General features: G+C 65.1%; 1 protein-coding gene across 2 annotated transcripts, besides 2 other annotated features; it reads left to right on the forward strand.

Annotated features, from left to right (window-relative positions):
- The first annotated feature begins 9,561 nt into the window (after positions 1–9,561).
- PKP3 (plakophilin 3) lies at positions 9,562–21,874 on the forward strand. Of its 2 annotated transcripts, NM_001303029.2 has the most exons (14): positions 9,562–9,674; positions 11,295–11,490; positions 13,574–13,653; positions 13,780–14,411; positions 14,505–14,628; positions 15,958–16,162; positions 16,933–17,107; positions 17,300–17,417; positions 17,501–17,671; positions 20,044–20,229; positions 20,584–20,737; positions 20,909–21,101; positions 21,202–21,289; positions 21,500–21,874. In NM_001303029.2, the coding sequence occupies exons 1-14, from the start codon at positions 9,594–9,596 to the stop codon at positions 21,533–21,535; spliced, it is 2,439 nt and encodes an 812-aa protein (NP_001289958.1). In that variant the 5' UTR covers positions 9,562–9,593; the 3' UTR covers positions 21,536–21,874. The 2 variants fall into 2 exon arrangements, with proteins under 2 accessions (NP_001289958.1, NP_009114.1); NM_007183.4 differs by lacking the exon at positions 9,562–9,674 and having other exon boundaries at positions 11,175–11,490.
- Positions 10,628–11,390: an enhancer, noted in NCBI's record as "H3K27ac-H3K4me1 hESC enhancer chr11:393662-394424 (GRCh37/hg19 assembly coordinates)". NCBI's record gives its function as "activates a minimal SCP1, AML or CMV promoter by ChIP-STARR-seq in naive H9 embryonic stem cells {active_cell/tissue: H9 hESC(naive)}" and the evidence as "EXISTENCE:reporter gene assay evidence [ECO:0000049][PMID:30033119]".
- Positions 13,349–13,878: an enhancer, noted in NCBI's record as "H3K4me1 hESC enhancer chr11:396383-396912 (GRCh37/hg19 assembly coordinates)". NCBI's record gives its function as "activates a minimal SCP1, AML or CMV promoter by ChIP-STARR-seq in naive H9 embryonic stem cells {active_cell/tissue: H9 hESC(naive)}" and the evidence as "EXISTENCE:reporter gene assay evidence [ECO:0000049][PMID:30033119]".
- Positions 21,875–22,241: the final 367 nt, after the last annotated feature.

Genomic DNA, 22,241 nt, shown 5'->3' on the forward strand with positions numbered 1-22,241 from the left:
CAGCCTGGGAAACAGAGCAAGGCCCTGTCTCGGAAAAAAAAAATGCTAAAATTAAGGTGTCAGCAGGGCTGGTTCCTTCGGGAGACTTAGGTGTGAGTCTGCGTCCGTGCCTTCTCCAGCTTCTCAAGGCCACCTGGATTTCAGCAGCTTGGCCTCTTCCCCTCTCTCACTCACTCTCTCTCTCCCTCTCTCCCTCATCTCCTCCTGTGACTCTGACCCTGCTGCCTTCTCTTATAAGGCCCCCTGCGATGACACTGGGCCCTCCCAGCAAACCCACGATAACCATCACGTCCCTCACTCAGTCACATCTGCAAAACCCCTTTGCCATGAAGGTAACAGTCACAGGTTCTGGGACTAGGACAGGCACATCTTGAGCGGTCACTCTTCTTTCTACCTCCTCGTTCACACGGGGTGGGAAAATAGCTCCTAGGCCCAGCAGCCAGAATTGTCCTCTGCAGATACGTCCTGAGGTCACTGCTCACCGTGCACTCACGGCAGCTGGGCGGTGGAGCCGAAGGAAGAACCAGGGGGACCTGCCGTGGACCAGAGCGGCATCCAGTCGCCTGGTGTGGGCTTCACAGGTCCTGCTGGTCCACAGGTGTGCAGGTCCACAGAGGTGCCCGCAGGGCAGGGGACATGGCTGGCCACACACATGCCCAGAAGCCATGTGCTGACCAGCTGTCCTGCCCGCTGATCCCTGTGTATCTAGTTCAGATGGACTTGTCCCCACTCACAGATGTTTCGCAGCAAGAGAAGAACTAGCCTTGGATTTAATGATCCACGCTAACCCAAGAAAATGAGAAAAGGATAGAAGAAATGTAAACCACAGGCAGGGGAAGCCTGCACATCAGAAAGAGAATTAACCTTGGAAAACAAAAAAGTCAAAATTCCATGTAATCTGGACGATTCACACCATCATTTAATCCGTTTAGCAATGATTCATTGCACACTCACTACATGTCCCGCACTGAGGAAAAGGCAGGGAACGGAACAGACAAAAACTGCTGCCCCCAAGGATCTTACATTCTAATACGGGGGGGAGCGGGGCACGACGACGCCATCAATAACACATCTGGTATACCAGCTGGCGGCAAGGGCAGTGGAGAGAAAGGAAGCCCGGGAAGGCAGCAGCCCATGTGAGCGTGACTGCGTTTCTAAGCAGGGTGCTCAGAAAGACCAAGCGTGAGAAGGTGAAGGCGGCCGAGGACACAGGCGGGGGAGGGCAGGGGTCAGCGGCAGCCTTTGAGGAAATTTCTTAAAAATCAATGATAAGGCTGGGCATAGTGGCTCACACCTGTAATCTCAGCACTTCGGGAGGCTGAGGCAGGAGTGATGGCAGCGGTGGCCCATCTAGAGTGGACACTGCCAAGATGCTGGCCGCAGCGGAGAGGCATGGCAGGGCCTCCCACTCCACAGAGCAGGCAGGAGCTCGGCCCTCCTGGGCACTGGGTTCGTTTGCGTGCACCTCAATATTCCTGTGCTCTTGGGGGCCCAGGAAGGCCCCCACCCGGCCCCCTGTAGGCTCAGAAGTACCTGCTCCTGCTGCCCCTGCGGAGCCTGGTGCTTCCAGTAGCTGGAACCGGGGCCCACAGTCCGCTCCCAGAGGTGTCTCCCAGCATGGTTGCGAGTCGGGTGAGGGGCGGCCCCAGGCTGCCCCTGAGTGTTGGAACTGCAGGGGGATCTTGTGGTGACATCGCCTCCCTCTGCCCCGGATGCCGACCCGGGCTCTGTGAGGGCCGAAAGTCTTCACCCCAGGCTGCAAGGAGGCGGACAGGGGAGCAGGATGACTGCAGGAGCAGCAGTGGCGGCAGCAGGTCCCCAGTGCCCCATGTCCCCAAGGCTGCCGACGGTGCCACCCCCACCCTCACACAGCTGGGCAAGACCCACTCCCAGGCCTGGAACCCCCACAGCCGGGCAAGACCCACTCCCAGGCCTGGAACCCCCACAGCCGGGCAAGACCCACTCCCAGGCCTGGAACCCCCACAGCCGGGCAAGACCCACTCCCAGGCCTGGAACCCCCACAGCCGGGCAAGACCCACTCCCAGGCCTGGAACCCCCACAGCCGGGCAAGACCCACTCCCAGGCCTGGAACCCCCACAGCCGGGCAAGACCCACTCCCAGGCCTGGAACCCCCACAGCCGGGCAAGACCCACTCCCAGGCCTGGAACCCCCACAGCCGGGCAAGACCCACTCCCAGGCCTGGAACCCCCACAGCCGGGCAAGACCCACTCCCAGGCCTGGAACCCCCACAGCCGGGCAAGACCCACTCCCAGGCCTGGAACCCCCACAGCCGGGCAAGACCCACTCCCAGGCCTGGAACCCCCACAGCCGGGCAAGACCCACTCCCAGGCCTGGAACCCCCACAGCCGGGCAAGACCCACTCCCAGGCCTGGAACCCCCACAGCCGGGCAAGACCCACTCCCAGGCCTGGAACCCCCACAGCCGGGCAAGACCCACTCCCAGGCCTGGAACCCCCACAGCCGGGCAAGACCCACTCCCAGGCCTGGAACCCCCACAGCCGGGCAAGACCCACTCCCAGGCCTGGAACCCCCACAGCCGGGCAAGACCCACTCCCAGGCCTGGAACCCCCACAGCCGGGCAAGACCCACTCCCAGGCCTGGAACCCCCACAGCCGGGCAAGACCCACTCCCAGGCCTGGAACCCCCACAGCCACCTCAACCTCGCTTCCTGCCGTGTCCCGGGAGCCCGTGAGCACCCAGCTGAAGGCACAGCCGGGTCTCGTGGAACCAGCCCTGGGAGCAGTGGGTTTATTTGTGCAGGGTTGGCAGGGCGGGAGCACCACGGGGGCAGCTGCAGCCAGCCAGGTTGCTGCTGTGTGGACCCAGGCCTCCTGGTGGTCTTGGGGGCCAGGGAGGACCCCCTAACACCACAGGCTTGGGGGTGTCCCTGCTCCTGGCGCCCACTCTGATCTTGGAGTGGGGTCGGGGCCAAGCCCGGGTGTTGTTGCAGCCCAGCCGGGTGTGCACCCTCAGAGCAGTGCCGAGATGCCAGTCCCCTGCCACCTCAGCCCCTCCAGACTTTGGGCACCAATGAGTGTGGGAGGGAGGCCAAGATGGAGCTGGGGGCAGCTCAGTGCTGGCCTGTGGGCACCCCTTGGCACGAGCGGCCTGGGCACCATGGGCGGCAGTGGGAGGCAGACAGGCTCCTGGGAGGGAATGGGCAGGTCCCTGGTGAGGCTCCACCTTCAAGCCAGGGTGGGCCTGAAGGCTGGGGGCCAGGCTGACAGTCCTGAGGACCACAGTGGGGACTTGTGGTGCCTTTTCCGGGCCCACCCATGGCTGCCCATGCACCAGTTGGCATGAATTTCCTCCCCTCTGAGGCCCATAAAAGCCCTGGGTTCAGCCAGAGTGGAGAAGAGGACAGAGAGACGACGGGATGACCAGCTGCAGAAAGGAGCTACCCTCACTAGGGCCTCCTCTTTGCTGAGCATTGCAGGCCTTGGGTCAACCAACTGCAGAGAGGAGTTACCCTCTCTGCTGATAGCTGCAGGCATTGGGTCGACCAACTGCAGAGAGGAGCTGCCCTCTCTGCTGAGAGCTGAACACTCGTTGGGACGACCTTCCTGCAGAGAGGAGCCACTCACTCCCAGCCTCCTCTCTGCTGAGAGCCTCTGAGCCGTTCTGACACTTAATAAAGCTCCTCTTCGTCTTGCTCACCCTCCACTTGTCTGTGTACCTCATTCTTCCTGGACACAGGACAAGAACTCAGGCAAAGGTGCTCCTGGCCACAGAGGTTTCTGGCCAGAAAAGCAACACCCCAAATATCCCACAACATGTTTGGGGGCTCGTCTGGGATCTGCACAAGGGTAAGTAAAAGTGGATCTTCTCTTTCTGTCCTTTCTTCGTGGTCCTTAAACTCAACAGCTAAAATGAAAGAAAAATACCAGGCCTCTGTCAATTAGTTAAAAGTGACGACTAGTCTCCAAGCACCAGACTCAACACATGGAGGCCAGGCTTGCTGGGGAGGACACTGTCAAGCCCCCATCACCCTCAGGTATTGGGAATGTTGGCTTTGTTCCAACCCAGTTTTCCTTCATGGAGGTCTAGCTGTCACGTGGGACCAGAAGGAGGTCCTAGAGCAACTGGGGGTATTTGGCTGAGGTTACCCCTTGGAGTTATCCAAAGGCCCCTGGACTGACTCCAGTCCCCAGCCTCCCATGAGGGTGTTGGCACAAAGACCTCCACTCTTTCCTATCATTCTTTTCTGTCTTTCTTTTGTGGCTGTCATGGTTCCTATCTCTTCTTTATGTACAATGTTAAATGTTAAGGATGTTGTTGCAAACCAGAAATATTACTGGGTAGAATGAGCATTTGACTGAGTCATCAAAACTATAAAATGGAAGGTTAAGAATAGCACAGACGAAGTAAAGTGTGCCTTGGTATCTGTATGTAAATTTGTGGCAAAAATGTTCTTGTTATTTCCTTGGCCGCCAACTTGGTGCCAAGCACCTTGAGACCCAGAAAAGAAGCATGGTCTCAGGAAGGAAGCTTTTCTGTAAACGTGAGACCCAGAAGAGAAGCATGGTCTCAGGAAGGAAGCTTTTCTGTAAGTGTAAGACACAGAAGGGAAGCATGGTCTTGGGAGGAAGCTTTTCTGTAAATGTGAGGGCCAGTGATCCCAGGCCTCGTGTGTGCAGGCTTTCTTTGCCTTGCAGGGTAACTTGGACCTTTGCCTCTACTGTAGGATTGATCCAGCCCTCCTGGTGGCCATCTCAGGAGAGGCTGCAAGAGGCAATCCCAGGGAAATAGAGAAGCAAACCCCAGAGGCACCTCCAGTGGAGGAATCAAACCCTTCACTCCTCCCTACTCAGGTTCTCTCTCAAGCTTTCCCCAGCCTAGAAATCCTCATTTTAGGCCATTCTGAGTCAAATTAAGGGGGATCTTGGCAAGTTTTCAGATGGCCCTGACAGATACATGGAGGCTTTCCAGAACTTAACCCAAGTATTTGAGCTCTCCTGGAAGGATATCATGTTACTTCTGAATCAAACCCTGACTGCTGAAAAGCAGGCCACCCCGCAAGCGGCAGAGAATTTGGGGGATGAGCTGTATATCTTATATAGGGCCAGGGAAGAAGAGAAGCTTTATCCAATTGGATGAATAGCAGTACCATTGGAGGACCCTAAATGGGACCCCAGTGATAAAATGGGAGAATGGAGGATGAAACACTTTCAGATGTGATACTGGAGGGCTTGTGAGGGAATGGGACTGGGCTTCTCATTGCACTTGGCTGGAGGGCTTATGAGAGAAAGGGGCTGGGCCTCTTGATTGCACCAGGCTGTCCATGGTAGAGCAGGGATTGGCCCCACTGCCTTCCTGGGGGATGGCAGGGGCCTTGGTGAAGTGTGCCTCTCTGTCTCCTGACTCAGTCAATGAACGGCTGGTCCTAGGGGATGAGGAGATGAGTTCATTGCACAGGCGGCCCCTGATGTCAGAAGGAGGATGCGGGAATGGGCTGTGGGACCAGATGGTACTTTGGGGGCATCCTGGGAGGGGCCACCTCAGTTTTTTCCAGTGGGAACCGGGAGGAAGTCCAGAAAAGAGAGAGGAGATATAGGAAGAAGGCAAAGGCTCTTAACAGCTGCCCTGTGGGCTCATGGACCCCAGGATCCCTAGATACACCTGTGACTGCTGCAAATGTGTTGGGCTAGGGCCCCACAGGAGGGTTTCCAGACAGTGCAGGGAGGAGGGTCCTTCATGAGGGTTTCCACACAGTGCAGGGAGGAGGGTCCTTCAGGAGGGTTTCCACACAGTGCAGGGAGGAGGGTCCTTCAGGAGGGTTTCCACACAGTGCAGGGAGGAGGGTCCTTCAGGAGGCTTTCCAGACAGTCCTGGGAGGAGGGTCCTTCAGGAGGGGCTTTCCAGACAGTGCAGGGAGGAGGGTCCTTCAGGAGGGGCTTTCCAGACAGTGCAGGGAGGCCACCTTGACCCTGTCCAGTTTGCCTTGGGGACTGTAGGGTCCAGCCCTACGGGGCTTAGTGGGTGTTCTCCCCATGTGCGGAGACCAGAGATTGTAATAAATAAAGGCACAAGACAAAGAGATAAAGAGAAAGCAGCTGGGCCTGGGGGACCACTACCATCAAGACGCGGAGACCAGTAGTGCCCTGAACGGCTGGGCGCGCTGATATTTATTGCATACAAGACAAGGGGGCAGGATAAGGAGGGTGAATCTTCTAAGTGATAAGGTGAAGCAAGTCACCTTACGGTGACCCTTCCCTCTTAGGTAGCCGAAGTAGAGAGGAAAGGCAGCATACATCAGTGTTGTCTTCTATGCAGTTATAAGAACGATCAAAGACTTTAAGACTTTCACTATTTCTTCTACCGCTATCTACTACGAACTTCAAAGAGGAACCAGGAGTACGGGAGGAGCATGAAAGTGGACAAGGAGTGTGATCATTCAAGCACCACAGGGAGGGGGTTAGGCCTCCGGATGACTGCGGGCCAGGCCTGGAGAATATCCAGCCTCCCACAAGAAGCTGGTGGAGCAGAGTGTTCCCCGACCTCTCCAAGGAAAGGAGACTCCCTTTCGCGGTCGGCTAAGGAACGGGTGCCTTCCCAGGCACTCGCGTTACCGCTTGACCAAGGAGCCCTCAAGCGGCCCTTATGTTGGCGTGACAGAGGGCTCACCTCTTGCCTTCTAGGTCACTTCTCACAACGTCCCTTCAGCACCTGACCCTATACCCACCGCTTATTCCTAGGTTATATAGTAATGGAACAAAGAGTAATATTAAAAGCTAATGACTAATAATGTTTATAATAATGATTGATAATTGTCCATGAGCATCTCTATATCTAATTTGTATTATGACTATTCTTATTCTATTTTCTTTATTATACTGAAACAGTTTGTGCCTTCAGTCTCTTGCCTGGGCACCTGGGTCATCCTCCGCCCACAGGGGACCGCTGGAGGACAGACCATCCCTGGAGACGTGGGTTGCCGGACCTCGGGCCAGTCTCCCAAATGGTACAGCAGGACTGATGGGTCCCCAGCCTCCTCTCCCCAGCTACAGTCGTCCAGACCACCATTGCCATCCAGGAACCCCAGGGATTGTAGGGGTCAAGGGAAGGAGGATGGACCTCGTCCTGGACTCCAGAGTTCTCCTCTCCAATCTGGGCCCCCCTCCCCATCTCTTGGCACAACTGTGAGTGGCATCTCAGGCCTCCTTCCTCCACCATGTCAGGAATCAACACAGTCTTGTGAATACAGGGACCTCTCCATGGAGGGGTTAGCTTTTTTCCTTTCAGAAGGCACCTTCTTAGGCCAGGCCCCCGATTCCCAGGACTTCCCTCCTCCGCCTTGTTTGAGGAGGACCTGGCCCCACAGCGCCACCTGTTTATAACAGGAAAGCAACAGGAGCGGCCGCCACCTGTTAGCAGCTGCAATTTGGTGAGGAACACTTGGGGCTAACTGAATGGGTCCACACACCGTCCTGAGGCCAGACCCCAGGAGAACCCCCGGGAGATGCCCCGCCTGCCTCAGACAGACGCCCCCTTCCCCAGAGGAGCGCCGGGGTCCTGAGGCCAGACCCCAGGAGAACCCCCGGGAGATGCCCCGCCTGCCTCAGACAGACGCCCCCTTCCCCAGAGGAGCGCCGGGGTCCTGAGGCCAGACCCCAGGAGAACCCCCGGGAGATGCCCCGCCTGCCTCAGACAGACGCCCCCTTCCCCAGAGGAGCGCCGGGGTCCTGAGGCCAGACCCCAGGAGAACCCCCGGGAGATGCCCCGCCTGCCTCAGACAGACGCCCCCTTCCCCAGAGGAGCGCCGGGGTCCTGAGGCCAGACCCCAGGAGAACCCCCGGGAGATGCCCCGCCTGCCTCAGACAGACGCCCCCTTCCCCAGAGGAGCGCCGGGGTCCTGAGGCCAGACCCCAGGAGAACCCCCGGGAGATGCCCCGCCTGCCTCAGACAGACGCCCCCTTCCCCAGAGGAGCGCCGGGGGCATAGCAAGAGCCCGGGACTCGTCTGATGAACGAACAAGTAGTGGACGGACAGATGGACAGACTGACCAACAGGCCGGCAGTGGACGGGGTGTGTGCAGATGAAAGGTGTCCCCCCCAAGAGCCTACAGGGGCCATACCCCTCAGCTACTTTCCATGCCAAGGACCAAGGCCAGAGACCTCAGAGCTGCCCCAGCCACAGGCGCGGGGCAGGGGCCACACTCCACAAGGTGAGGGGTGGTGCCCATGGGCAGCCGGGCAGGCTCCGTGGAGGGGCTGGACTTGGCTGGAGCCCAAGTCAGAAGGTTTGCAAGCGTGGGCGCCAACAGGAAGCGCCAGGACGCTTGCCTCTGGGTGAGCTGTGCCCCCACGCCGGGTCCATCAACCACCAAGGGGCTCCCCTAATGCACTCCGAACCCCGCCCCTGCAGGCGGTGGGACCTGAGGCAGCCTCCCAAGCCTCTCTGTGCACCGGCTCACTCCTGAATTCGGCTTTGACTATATTTTGCTTCCAACGTCCTCACACCTTTCTCCCCAGATCCTCCCCCTTCTGCTCCTTAAGACGACCACCCCAACCCCCTCCACCCACGCAGGCTCTGCCCTGGAGGTTTGTCTTCTGTGCCCTCCCACAACTCCGGGCACGCACCTGGCAGCTCTGCCCACGACCTGGGCCCAGCCGACCTTCTCTGTGAGCGCCTCCCGTGCCCCCCACGCTGAGCCCACCATGCCCCGAAGCCCTCCTGCGCCCTCTCCCACCGCCTCTTGGGAGGTGACTGACAGGCCACACCCCACCCAGGACCCATCTAAGAGCAGCGCTCACTCACCCTTCGAGGCCCTCAGGTTCCAGGCTCTCAACCTGATTGTGCACCCAAGCGGCCCGAGGCTCCGTGCAGATTCCGGGCCCCACAGACAACCGCTTCCTCCAGGAAGCCTACCGTCAAGCCCCCCTCCAGGGCTCCTGTGTCAGGAGCTGGCTCCAGGGAGAGTGCGACCCTCAGGGCTGGTCACAGGGATCAGATGAGACTCCGCCGAGCCTGGAGCTGGAAGCTGCAGCGGTGGCCTAGCAGGCATCGCCATCCGTCTGGCCCGGCCGCAGTGAGGGAAGGTGCACCCCAGATTCCTGGCTTTGCCAAAACTGTGCCTGGCGGGCACCACGCATCCTCAGGGAGGCGCCGCAGCTCTGGGGGGGGGCACCCACAGCCCTCTCTGCCAAGGGGAGGAGGGAAGGTGGGCAGAGTCGGCCCTGGGGGCCCTGCAGGCCGCGGGGTACCGGCGTTCCCATCATAGCTCCAGCCGCACGGAAGCCCCTTCACTGAGTCCTCTTGTGAGCCCTTCGGCCTGACTGGGCTGCAGAGGCCCTCCAGGCTGGCTTCCCCCTCATGCCGCCCAGCCTGGCCCCTGCAGGGCCCCAGGTGGGCCTGGGGTGGACCTGGGTGCAGGGCGGGACCCAGCCCATGCCAGGCACATACCTCCAGGCCCGCTCTGCGCCGCACAAACTTGTCTCCCAGGATTTTTCCACACGAAACCTGTCTCCCAGGGAATCAGCCAGTCCGATGAGCTGGGCGTTCCCACCCCGCCCTCCGAGGCCCCCACAGTCCTGTCCCCGCCGCAGAGGCTGCCCCGCACGCGCCGGGCCAGGGATGGAGTCCTGGACACCTCGGCCGTCAGCAGTGGCCTCTGGGATGAGCTGGGAGGCTGGCGGGATCCGGACCACGAGCCGGGTAGGTCTCCCACCCCTTCCCCACCACCCCGACCCCACCTGGTGGCCCCAGCCCGGGCCTCACCCATCCTTTCAGTGGACCTTCCCCTCCCCCTTTAACCCCCCACGCTGACCTCCGACTCCTACTCTCCAGCTTCCTCCCCTCAGAACTGACCTCACCCTTAATGCTGCCTCCTAACCCTGACCCGGCCCTCACGCCAGACCCCTGCCCCAGCCCCATTAAGGCAAAAATCTTCCAGGGACGGAGCTAGGGGGCAAGGGTCTGCCCTGGAGGAGAGCCCAGAGCCAGGGTCCAGGGTCCAGGGAGAAGCAGAGGCTGTCCGATGAGCTCGTGAGAGAAGCCCAGAGGTTGTCATAGATGTTCAGCTCCCACCCCCAGCCCTCCTAGGCTTATCCCCACCCCCATCTACCAGGGGCTTGTCCCAGAGGCTAGAGGGCCTCAGAGCCCATTTGCTGGCTGTGGTGCTAGAAGGAGACCTTCTGGGCACAAGCCCTGCTTGGTCCAGGGCCCCCCCACCAGGGGCCCCCCACTACCCCACCCCCACCAGGGGCCCCCCACCCTCGCTCCCTCTCCATCCAGGCCTCTGCTCTTCCAGACCCCTGGTTCTTCCCTGCACACCCGCTCCTGCCCCAGCCTGACATGCGCTGACAGGAGTGCAGGCCCTCTGAGTCAACCCCCTGGGGCGGCCCCGCCCCCCTGCACCCTGACTCATGTGCTGGGAACGGCCTCCCACCCCAGGGCCTGGGGTGCAGGAGCAGTGGTGCCAGGGTCCCAGAAGCCAGAGAGGGTTTTGGAGGCCTCTGTAGGGGGTGAGGGGGTCCTGGGGGTGAGTTCCAGGGTCTGCAGGCTTCGGGGGAGGGCCGGTCCATCCACATGCTTCCTGGTGCGGAGGGGGCTCGCTGGATTCCAAGGACCAGGGCCAGGGCCTCCATGGAGTCCCGTTGGACCCTAAAGCTCTGTCCCTCCAGCCTTTGTCCTGATCCCTGGCACTGACCCCTGACTCCCGACAGTGTCTCCTGCCAACCCTTCCTAGGCCTCATCCCCACCTCACCAGGAAGGCTGGGCTACCATGGAGGCTGGCTGATTCTTGGAGCTACCTAGGGCCCTAGACCCCCAGGGACTGGGGCACCCTCCCCTTCATGCTGGGGGTGGCAGGACATAGGCCCCCCGCAGGCCCCCTGCCCTTCCCTGACACTCAGGACACAGAGGGCCCCTCTGTCCCAGCCCCACGACAAAGGGCCCGGTCTGGCCTTTACAGGCTGAGAACAAGAAGGACCCAGGTCCCCGTGGCCCTGTTGTGGGATGGGAGAAAAGGAGGCGGGAGGCCAGGCTGGGACCTGGGGCCATGCAGGGCCTGTTCTTCCGCCCAAATTCCACCTTAAGCAGGCGGCGGCCCCTCCCTCCCACCTGGCCAGGTGTCCCCGCCCCCAGCTGCGCTCAGGGCTGGGCAGGCGTCTGTCTTCAGGCGGCTCTGGGTGAGGCTGGCTGGGCGGGGACTTCAGGGAGAGGGCCTCGAGGGACAGGACGTGAAGATAGTTGGGTTTGGAGGCGGCCGCCAGGCCCAGGCCCGGTGGACCTGCCGCCATGCAGGACGGTAACTTCCTGCTGTCGGCCCTGCAGCCTGAGGCCGGCGTGTGCTCCCTGGCGCTGCCCTCTGACCTGCAGCTGGACCGCCGGGGCGCCGAGGGGCCGGAGGCCGAGCGGCTGCGGGCAGCCCGCGTCCAGGAGCAGGTCCGCGCCCGCCTCTTGCAGCTGGGACAGCAGCCGCGGCACAACGGGGCCGCTGAGCCCGAGCCTGAGGCCGAGACTGCCAGAGGTAGGCGGTGGGGACAGCGGCGGGGATGGCGGTGGCGGGGAGAGGTGGCTGCGGGCGGACGTGATAGTGTGAGGGCAGAGGCCGCAGTGAGGCCGGCTCCTGACTCACCAGGCCTCACACTGAGTCACACACCCCGCCCCAGGGGCGTGGGGAGAAGCCATGGGTGGGGCTGCCCTGTCCAAGCAGGGACCCCGGGGTCCTCCAAAGACTGAGCCTGGCCAGGCCCCACCTGTGCCTGGAGTCCTGGAGCCATCCCTGTGGGGGATGACAGGGAAGGTTGGCACATGGCAGGCGGGCCAGGCCACTCGGTCGGCAAACCCGGAACACGCACGCGCCTGGCCCCGGTAGCACAGACTCACATAGGGTCTCAGGGACACCCAGACACCCACGCTCCTCCCATACCTCACGGGAATGAGCAGAACGGGAAAGCGGGGAGAGGTGTGGGGGTGCTGGAAGTCCTGGAGGAAAGCCAGGCCTGTCTGGACCAGGGGCTCCCTGAGGAATTAGAGGGGAGGGCCCGGCTGGAGTGACCTAGATTTCTCTGTGGGAACAGCAGGTGGAGGAGCACCCCTCGGTGCCAGCCAGACCCACCTGTGGCGGAATCCTGGCCCCACTCACGCGAGTGTGTGTGCATGCGTGTGAGTGTGAGTGACAGGAGCACAGACGCTGTGAGTTGAAGGCAGTGGTTCTAGGAACGCCATTTCCTCCTTCCCAGGCTACAGCAACAGGGATTAAGGTTAGACAGTAAGATGGACCTCCCAGAATGCCAGGGACCCAGATGCCAGTTCATCATGGTCCACTTGGTGTTTAGAGGGGCCTTCCCCAGGACTGGCCTCCAGCCACTGGCCAGGGGGAAGTGAAGGTCGCCCAGCGGAGGGGCCGGCCCGGCGGCCTGGACTGTGGGGTCCTCCCTCCAGGGGCCTCAGCCTTGCTGGTGACCAAGTCGGGTGCCCAGGGGTCATGGGGTGGAGGACGGTGAGGGAAGGGTTAATTACCACCCTGGCTGCCCTGCCAATTAGAGGGAGGTGGATTATAATTGGGGGGTGGGGGTGAGGTCCCCAGGCTGGGGCGTGCCCCCACTCCGGGCTGGGCCTCACGAGCGTCAGAGGGTTAATAGCCCCGGCCCAGAAGCCCCATTAACCAGGGTGAACCTGGGGCCTCTGCCATGGGGGTGTCCCCCACAGAGCATCCAGCTCTGGGCAGAGTTGTGGGAGGGCCACGGCCCCTTTCCCTGCACCCCACCCTGAGCCCCTCAGCCAGGTCGCTCTGGTGGGCCTTCTCATGCCCCCACCATCAGCCCATCCTCTCTGCACCCATCCACGAGTCCATCCCTCTGCCCACTCACCATCCAACCATGGGACCCTGTCGTCGACGGCTGTCCCACCCCTCCATCCACCACTCTGTCCATCCTTCCAGCAGTCACAGCAGCCCTCCCATCCTCCTCCTGCCTGTCCCTCCATCCACCCTCCGCCCTCCACCCTCTGCCCACCCACCTGTCTGTCCACTCACTGTGGAGTCGGGCTGACGCAGCTGCCCTTGGCGTGTGTGTGGCTGGACGGGGTGGGTGTGGCCCCTGCCTCAGGCTCTGCCGGGTGGGACAGGGCACTGCAACAGGGCATACTGGTCCAGGGAGACAGTGTCACTCTCCTGTGACCGGGCACAGATGAGGTTTGGGCACAGGAGGGGCTCAAAAGGAGTCAGTGTGGGCCGGGGCAGGCCAGGCTGGCTTCCTGGAGGAGGCTGGGCACTGTACCATGGCAAGGATTGGAGAACTGATGTCAGAGGCCCTGGCACATTCCTCCTGGCGACCAGGAGGTCAGTGGGTGAGCGTATCTGCCCTCTCGGGTAGAGGAGGCACAGCTGGGGGGTGGGCTGTGGAAGATGGACCACCAGGGCTGACATGTGAGGAGACCAAGCCATGGCAGGAATGGGGAGGCACTGGCCCTGGTGCCCCCCTGGCCTCCCTGCCCTGGATTGGAGGCTGCTCCTAGGGTTGCCAATAGCGATGGAGTGGTGGAGAGGAGGCAGGAGGCCAGTGCTTTGCTGTGTGGCAGAGCTGGGCTACCACCGTCCCTCTCCACAGGCACATCCAGGGGGCAGTACCACACCCTGCAGGCTGGCTTCAGCTCTCGCTCTCAGGGCCTGAGTGGGGACAAGACCTCGGTGAGCGATGGGCCCAGCCCGAGGGGGACGATCTGAGCTCTGCAGTCTGGAGAGTGGGAGGCTCTGCAGCGGGCCCGGACACAGGTGAGCCCAGGCACGCCCTCACCGCCCCCTCTCGACCCACAGGGCTTCCGGCCCATCGCCAAGCCGGCCTACAGCCCAGCCTCCTGGTCCTCCCGCTCCGCCGTGGATCTGAGCTGCAGTCGGAGGCTGAGTTCAGCCCACAACGGGGGCAGCGCCTTTGGGGCCGCTGGGTACGGGGGTGCCCAGCCCACCCCTCCCATGCCCACCAGGCCCGTGTCCTTCCATGAGCGCGGTGGGGTTGGGAGCCGGGCCGACTATGACACACTCTCCCTGCGCTCGCTGCGGCTGGGGCCCGGGGGCCTGGACGACCGCTACAGCCTGGTGTCTGAGCAGCTGGAGCCCGCGGCCACCTCCACCTACAGGGCCTTTGCGTACGAGCGCCAGGCCAGCTCCAGCTCCAGCCGGGCAGGGGGGCTGGACTGGCCCGAGGCCACTGAGGTTTCCCCGAGCCGGACCATCCGTGCCCCTGCCGTGCGGACCCTGCAGCGATTCCAGAGCAGCCACCGGAGCCGCGGGGTAGGCGGGGCAGTGCCGGGGGCCGTCCTGGAGCCAGTGGCTCGAGCGCCATCTGTGCGCAGCCTCAGCCTCAGCCTGGCTGACTCGGGCCACCTGCCGGACGTGCATGGGTTCAACAGCTACGGTAGCCACCGAACCCTGCAGAGACTCAGCAGCGGGTGAGCGGCTGGGCCCGGCTCAGGGAGGGGGCTTCTACCACGGGCCCAGCCTGAACCCAAAGTTAGCCTGACCCCTGACCCCTGGCTCCGCAGTTTTGATGACATTGACCTGCCCTCAGCAGTCAAGTACCTCATGGCTTCAGACCCCAACCTGCAGGTGCTGGGAGCGGCCTACATCCAGCACAAGTGCTACAGCGATGCAGCCGCCAAGAAGCAGGTGACCACCCCGACCACCCACTCGCTGCCCCCTGGTGACCTCCTTCGTGGGCCCCACCACCTCCCACTGTCCTCTGCTCACTGAGCACCCCTCATGATCCCCAAGCTGACTGGGTAGACCCCACTCTGTCTGGAGCCCCCTCAGCAGAGGAAGAGCAGAAGGATACAATTTGGATACACCAGTATCACCTGCATCACCTCCGTACCCCCACATATACCTCATCACCTCCGTACACCCGCACACACCTGCGTCACCTCCGTACCCCCACATATACCTCATCACCTCCATACCCCCGCACACACCTCCGTCACCTCCGTACCCCCGCACACACCTGCATCACCTCCATACCCCCACACACACCTGCGTCACCTCCGTACCCCCGCACACACCTGCGTCACCTCCGTACCCCCGCACACACCTCCGTCACCTCCGTACCCCCGCACACACCTGTGTCACCTCCCTACCCCCACATATACCTCATCACCTCCGTACACCCGCACATACCTGCGTCACCTCCCTACCCCCACATATACCTCATCACCTCCGTACCCCCGCACACACCTGCGTCACCTCCCTACCCCCACATATACCTCATCACCTCCGTACACCCGCACACACCTGCGTCACCTCCCTACCCCCGCACACACCTGCGTCACCTCCGTACCCCTGCACACACCTCCGTCACCTCCGTACCCCCGCACACACCTGCGTCACCTCCCTACCCCCGCACACACCTGCGTCACCTCCGTACCCCCGCACACACCTGCGTCACCTCCCTACCCCCGCACACACCTGCGTCACCTCCGTACCCCCGCACACACCTCTGTCACCTCCCTACCCCCGCACACACCTGCATCACCTCCGTACCCCCGCACACACCTGCGTCACCTCCGTACCCCCGCACACACCTGCGTCACCTCCCTACCCCCGCACACACCTGCGTCACCTCCCTACCCCCGCACACACCTGCGTCACCTCCCTACCCCCGCACACACCTGCGTCACCTCCCTACCCCCGCACACACCTGCGTCACCTCCGTACCCCCGCACACACCTGCGTCACCTCCCTACCCCCGCACACACCTGCGTCACCTCCGTACCCCCGCACACACCTCCGTCACCTCCGTACCCCCGCACACACCTGCGTCACCTCCGTACCCCCGCACACACCTCCGTCACCTCCCTACCGCCGCACACACCTCCGTCACCTCCCTATACGGCTGCATCCCCTGCATATCTACATCTACGCACCTGGACACAGCTGCACACAGGTGCATAGTCTGCATCCATCCACATGCGTCTGTGCACCCCCATATGCCTGTGCCCGCAGGCCCGCAGCCTTCAGGCCGTGCCTAGGCTGGTGAAGCTCTTCAACCACGCCAACCAGGAAGTGCAGCGCCATGCCACAGGTGCCATGCGCAACCTCATCTACGACAACGCTGACAACAAGCTGGCCCTGGTGGAGGAGAACGGGATCTTCGAGCTGCTGCGGACACTGCGGGAGCAGGATGATGAGCTTCGCAAAAATGTCACAGGTGCTGCCTGTCCCCTCCTCCACCTGTCCTTCCTCCACCTGCGCCCCTCTGCCTATCCCCCCTGCCTTCCTCCCCACCTGCCCCCCTCCACCTGCCCACCATCTGCCCCCCTTCTCCACCTGCCCCCTCTGCCACCTGCCCCCCTACTCCTCCTCCCCCCCTCTGCCTTACCCCCCCACCTGCCCGCCATCTGCCCCACTCCTCCACCTGCCCCCTCCTCCACCTGCCCCCTCTGCCTGTCCCCTACTCCTCCTGTCCTCCCTCTGTGTCCCCCCCACCTGGCCCCCCTCCTCCACCTGCCCCCTCTGCCTATCCCCCACCTGTCCCCCCCTCCACCTGTCCCCCTTTTCTGCCTGTCCCCCTCCTCCTGTCCCTCCTCTGCCTGTCCTCTCTCCTCCGTTCTGACCCCTCCACCTCATTCGGTTCCCCTCCGTCCCTTTGTACCTTTTGCCGGCCGTGTTTCTACTTGGGCCTCCACTGCCCGCCTCTTTCCTGGACCCCCGGCCACCCTGTCCTGTGGTTTTGTCTCCTTGGAGCCGCCTGCACTGCCAGGCCTGCTCACCACCCCACCCCCACATCTTGTCCCCTCTTGCTTGGTCCCAGCTCTATCACCTCAAATGCCACCCCAGGGTCTCCCCAGTGGGGCTCGTGGGTGAGGCACAGAACACCAGGCCAGCCCCTGGGGAGAGGCGGGACCTCTTCACACCATCCCCAGAAACGCGGAGGGGGTTGGAGGGCAGACGCTGATAGCAGCCTCCCCCGTCCTCCAGGGATCCTGTGGAACCTTTCATCCAGCGACCACCTGAAGGACCGCCTGGCCAGAGACACGCTGGAGCAGCTCACAGACCTGGTGTTGAGCCCCCTGTCGGGGGCTGGGGGTCCCCCCCTCATCCAGCAGAACGCCTCGGAGGCAGAGATCTTCTACAACGCCACCGGCTTCCTCAGGTGCGCCAGCCTCGGGCAGCGGGGTGGGGATTGCAGGCGCGGGTCACTGTGGGGACTCCGCCTGGCCTGGCGTTCGCAGCCCACACACCGCACGCCTCGCGCTGGGGATGGGCGTGCGAGGGCCCACGATGGGTTGGGGCAAGGCCCGGGATGCGGGGTCCCTGGGGGGCTCTGATCCACCTCGGTCCCCAGGAACCTCAGCTCAGCCTCTCAGGCCACTCGCCAGAAGATGCGGGAGTGCCACGGGCTGGTGGACGCCCTGGTCACCTCTATCAACCACGCCCTGGACGCGGGCAAATGCGAGGACAAGGTGAGGGGCGCGGTGTGGAGGAGGGGCCGTGCCCCCGGGCCGCCGCTCTGACCCGCGCCCCTGCCCCGCGCCCCCGCCCGCAGAGCGTGGAGAACGCGGTGTGCGTCCTGCGGAACCTGTCCTACCGCCTCTACGACGAGATGCCGCCGTCCGCGCTGCAGCGGCTGGAGGGTCGCGGCCGCAGGGACCTGGCGGGGGCGCCGCCGGGAGAGGTCGTGGGCTGCTTCACGCCGCAGAGCCGGCGGCTGCGCGAGGTGGGCACCAGCCTGAGCGGGGCGTGGGGTGGGTGCTGCGACCCCGGCCCCGCTGACCCCGGCCCCGCTCACCCCCGCCCCGCTCACCCCCGCCCCGCTCACCCCGCCCCGCTCACCCCGGACCCCGCTCACCCCCGCCCCGCTCACCCCCGACCCCGCTCACACCCGCCCCGCTCACCCCCGCCCCGCTCACCCCCGCCCCGCTCACCCCGGACCCCGCTCACCCCCGCCCCGCTCACCCCCGGCCCCGCTCACACCCGCCCCGCTCACCCCCGCCCCGCTCACCCCGGACCCCGCTCACCCCGGACCCCGCTCACACCCGCCCCGCTCACACCCGGCCCCGCTCACCCCCGCCCCGCTCACCCCCGGCCCGCTCACACCCGGCCCCGCTCACACCCGGCCCCGCTCACACCCGCCCCGCTCACCCCCGGCCCCGCTCACACCTGCCCCGCTCACACCCGGCCCCGCTCACACCCGGCCCCGCTCACACCCGGCCCGCTCACACCCGCCCCGCTCACCCCCGGCCCCGCTCACACCCGGCCCCGTTCACACCCGCCCCGCTCACACCCGCCCCGCTCACCCCCGGCCCGCTCACACCCGCCCCGCTCACCCCCGGCCCGCTCACACCCGGCCCCGCTCACACCCGGCCCCGCTCACACCCGCCCCGCTCACCCCCGGCCCCGCTCACACCCGCCCCGCTCACACCCGGCCCCGCTCACACCCGGCCCGCTCACACCCGCCCCGCTCACACCCGCCCCGCTCACACCCGCCCCGCTCACCCCCGGCCCCGCTCACCCCCGGCCCCGTTCACACCCGCCCCGCTCACACCCGCCCCGCTCACCCCCGGCCCGCTCACCCCCGGCCCCGCTCACACCCGGCCCCGCTCACACCCGCCCCGCTCACACCCGGCCCCGCTCACACCCGGCCCCGCTCACACCCGGCCCCGCTCACACCCGCCCCGCTCACCCCCGCCCCGCTCACCCCCGGCCCCGCTCACCCCCGGCCCCGCTCACCCCCGACCCCGCTCACCCCCGACCCCGCTCACCCCCGCCCCGCTCACCCCCGCCCCGCTCACCCCCGACCCCCGGCCCCGCTCACCCCCGACCCCCGGCCCCGCTCACCCCCGGCTCCACTGACCCCGGCCCCGCTCACCCCGGACCCCGCTCACCCCCGACCCCCGGCCCCGCTCACCCCCGGCTCCACTGACCCCGGCCCCGCTCACCCCGGACCCCGCTCACCCCCGACCCCCGGCCCCGCTCACCCCCGACCCCCGGCCCCGCTCACCCCCGGCTCCACTGACCCCGGCCCCGCTCACCCCGGACCCCGCTCACCCCCGACCCCCGGCCCCGCTCACCCCCGGCTCCACTGACCCCGGCCCCGCTCACCCCGGACCCCGCTCACCCCCGACCCCCGGCCCCGCTCACCCCCGGCTCCACTGACCCCGGCCCCGCTCACCCCGACCCCGCTCACCCCAGACCCCCGGCCCCGCTCACCCCCGGCTCCACTGACCCCGGCCCCGCTCACCCCGGACCCCGCTCACCCCCGACCCCCGGCCCCGCTCACCCCCGGCTCCACTGACCCCGGCCCCGCTCACCCCGGACCCCGCTCACCCCCGACCCCCGGCCCCGCTCACCCCCGACCCCCGGCCCCGCTCACCCCCGGCTCCACTGACCCCGGCCCCGCTCACCCCGGACCCCGCTCACCCCCGACCCCCGGCCCCGCTCACCCCCGGCTCCACTGACCCCGGCCCCGCTCACCCCGGACCCCGCTCACCCCCGACCCCCGGCCCCGCTCACCCCCGGCTCCACTGACCCCGGCCCCGCTCACCCCGACCCCGCTCACCCCCGACCCCCGGCCCCGCTCACCCCCGGCCCCGCTCACCCCGACCCCGCTCACCCCCGACCCCCGGCCCCGCTCACCCCCGACCCGCTCACCCCGACCCCGCTCACCCCCGACCCCCGGCCCCGCTCACCCCCGACCCGCTCACCCCGACCCCGCTCACCCCCGCCCCGCTCACCCCTGCCCCGCTCACCCCGGGCCCCGCTCACCCCCGGCCCCGCTCACCCCGACCCCGCTCACCCCCGACCCCCGGCCCCGCTCACCCCCGGCCCCGCTCACCCCCGCCCCGCTCACCCCCGCCCCGCTCACCCCGGGACCCGCTCACCCCGACCCCGCTCACCCCGGACCCCGCTCACCCCCGCCCCGCTCACCCCGGACCCCGCTCACCCCCGACCCCCGGCCCCGCTCACCCCCGCCCCGCTCACCCCGGACCCCGCTCACCCCCGCCCCACTCACACCCGACCCGCTCACCCCGACCCGCTCACCCCGACCCGCTCACCCCGACCCCGCCGACTCCTCCCCGCCCTGCGCAGCTGCCCCTCGCCGCCGATGCGCTCACCTTCGCGGAGGTGTCCAAGGACCCCAAGGGCCTCGAGTGGCTGTGGAGCCCCCAGATCGTGGGGCTGTACAACCGGCTGCTGCAGCGCTGCGAGCTCAACCGGCACACGACGGAGGCGGCCGCCGGGGCGCTGCAGAACATCACGGCAGGCGACCGCAGGGTGGGGCACCCAACCCAGACCCGAGGGGGTCCCAGGGGTTCATGCGGTTGAGGGGGGGACAGAGGAGGGAGAGGGAGGGGAGGAGGAAGGGGACGCCCAGGGTCCGCGGAGCCTCGGAGGTCAGCGTCCCGGTGGCGCAGGCCTTGGGCCTTGGGAGGATGGAAGTCCTGCCCTGGGTTTGAAGGGAGGCACCTGATCCGGGCTGCGGCTGATTCCCCCCGGCTGGGGGGCAAAGGCAGAAGCAGAGGCCCCCCTGAGGGTGGCGAGAGGATGCAGCGACCCCATTGTGGCAGGACCCCCTCAGGTGAGGGTCTGAGGCCTCCGGGTCACGGCTCACACCCTCCCTCCCCACAGTGGGCGGGGGTGCTGAGCCGCCTGGCCCTGGAGCAGGAGCGTATTCTGAACCCCCTGCTAGACCGTGTCAGGACCGCCGACCACCACCAGCTGCGCTCACTGACTGGCCTCATCCGAAACCTGTCTCGGAACGCTAGGAACAAGGACGAGATGTGTGAGTCGGGCAGCCCCTCGTCCCTGCCCTGCTGGACCCACATGTCAATTTTGTCTTTAAGTGTGGGCTTCAGACCACTGGGGCCAGTCCAGCTCCCTGGGGGAGGCAGGGGACCCCAGGTGCCCAGGTGGCCAGGAGTAGGGGTGCAGACTGACCCCCGGCCTCCCACAGCCACGAAGGTGGTGAGCCACCTGATCGAGAAGCTGCCGGGCAGCGTGGGTGAGAAGTCGCCCCCAGCCGAGGTGCTGGTCAACATCATAGCTGTGCTCAACAACCTGGTGGTGGCCAGCCCCATCGCTGCCCGAGACCTGCTGTATTTTGACGGACTCCGAAAGCTCATCTTCATCAAGAAGAAGCGGGACAGGTAGGGGCCGACCCAGCCGTGCAGCAGCCTGGTCAGGGGTCCTCCCAGTCCACCCTGCTTTCTGGCTGTGTGTCCCCTCCTGACTGCCCTCCACCCTCAGCCCCGACAGTGAGAAGTCCTCCCGGGCAGCATCCAGCCTCCTGGCCAACCTGTGGCAGTACAACAAGCTCCACCGTGACTTCCGGGCGGTACGTTTCCCGAGCCCAGGGCAAGCAGGGACCCGGGTGCAGGGCATGGGACGCCGGGGGAGGGTCAGTGAAGAGGCCCATGGGAGGATGGAGACCAGGGACCCAGAGAGGAAGGGTCCGGGCCACACCCAGCACACTGCAGGAGGGACAGCGGGCAGAGGGCCACATGGGCAGACATGCACCCTGACCTTGGGCCTCTCTCCACTGTAGAAGGGCTATCGGAAGGAGGACTTCCTGGGCCCATAGGTGAAGCCTTCTGGAGGAGAAGGTGACGTGGCCCAGCGTCCAAGGGACAGACTCAGCTCCAGGCTGCTTGGCAGCCCAGCCTGGAGGAGAAGGCTAATGACGGAGGGGCCCCTCGCTGGGGCCCCTGTGTGCATCTTTGAGGGTCCTGGGCCACCAGGAGGGGCAGGGTCTTATAGCTGGGGACTTGGCTTCCGCAGGGCAGGGGGTGGGGCAGGGCTCAAGGCTGCTCTGGTGTATGGGGTGGTGACCCAGTCACATTGGCAGAGGTGGGGGTTGGCTGTGGCCTGGCAGTATCTTGGGATAGCCAGCACTGGGAATAAAGATGGCCATGAACAGTCACTGCCCTGTGTCCTTCCATGGCTGGCCCGACCCTGTGGCTGGCAGCATGATCCTGGGACTCAAGGTGTCCCCAGGCACCCCCTGCCCCTGAGGACACCCACCCCCTGGGCTCACACACAAGCCTCCCAAGATCAGAGGACATAGGACATGGAGAGCCCAGCAGAGGGACAGCTGGCACCTCAGGGCCGAGAGGGGACAGGGTGGACAGCGGGTGCACCACAGGCACAGACGGAGCAGAGCTGGGGGCCTCGAGAGTAGAGGGGTGACTGGAGTAGGAACAGGGTGGCTGCCTCGTGGGCTACACTCATGCGGCAAATGAACCCAACTCCTCCGCCGCCCACCCTGGGCCTGGAGTTGCCTGGACCAG

This window comes from Homo sapiens, chromosome 11 (assembly GCF_000001405.40).
Source record: "Homo sapiens chromosome 11, GRCh38.p14 Primary Assembly".
Lineage (NCBI taxonomy): Eukaryota > Metazoa > Chordata > Mammalia > Primates > Hominidae > Homo > Homo sapiens.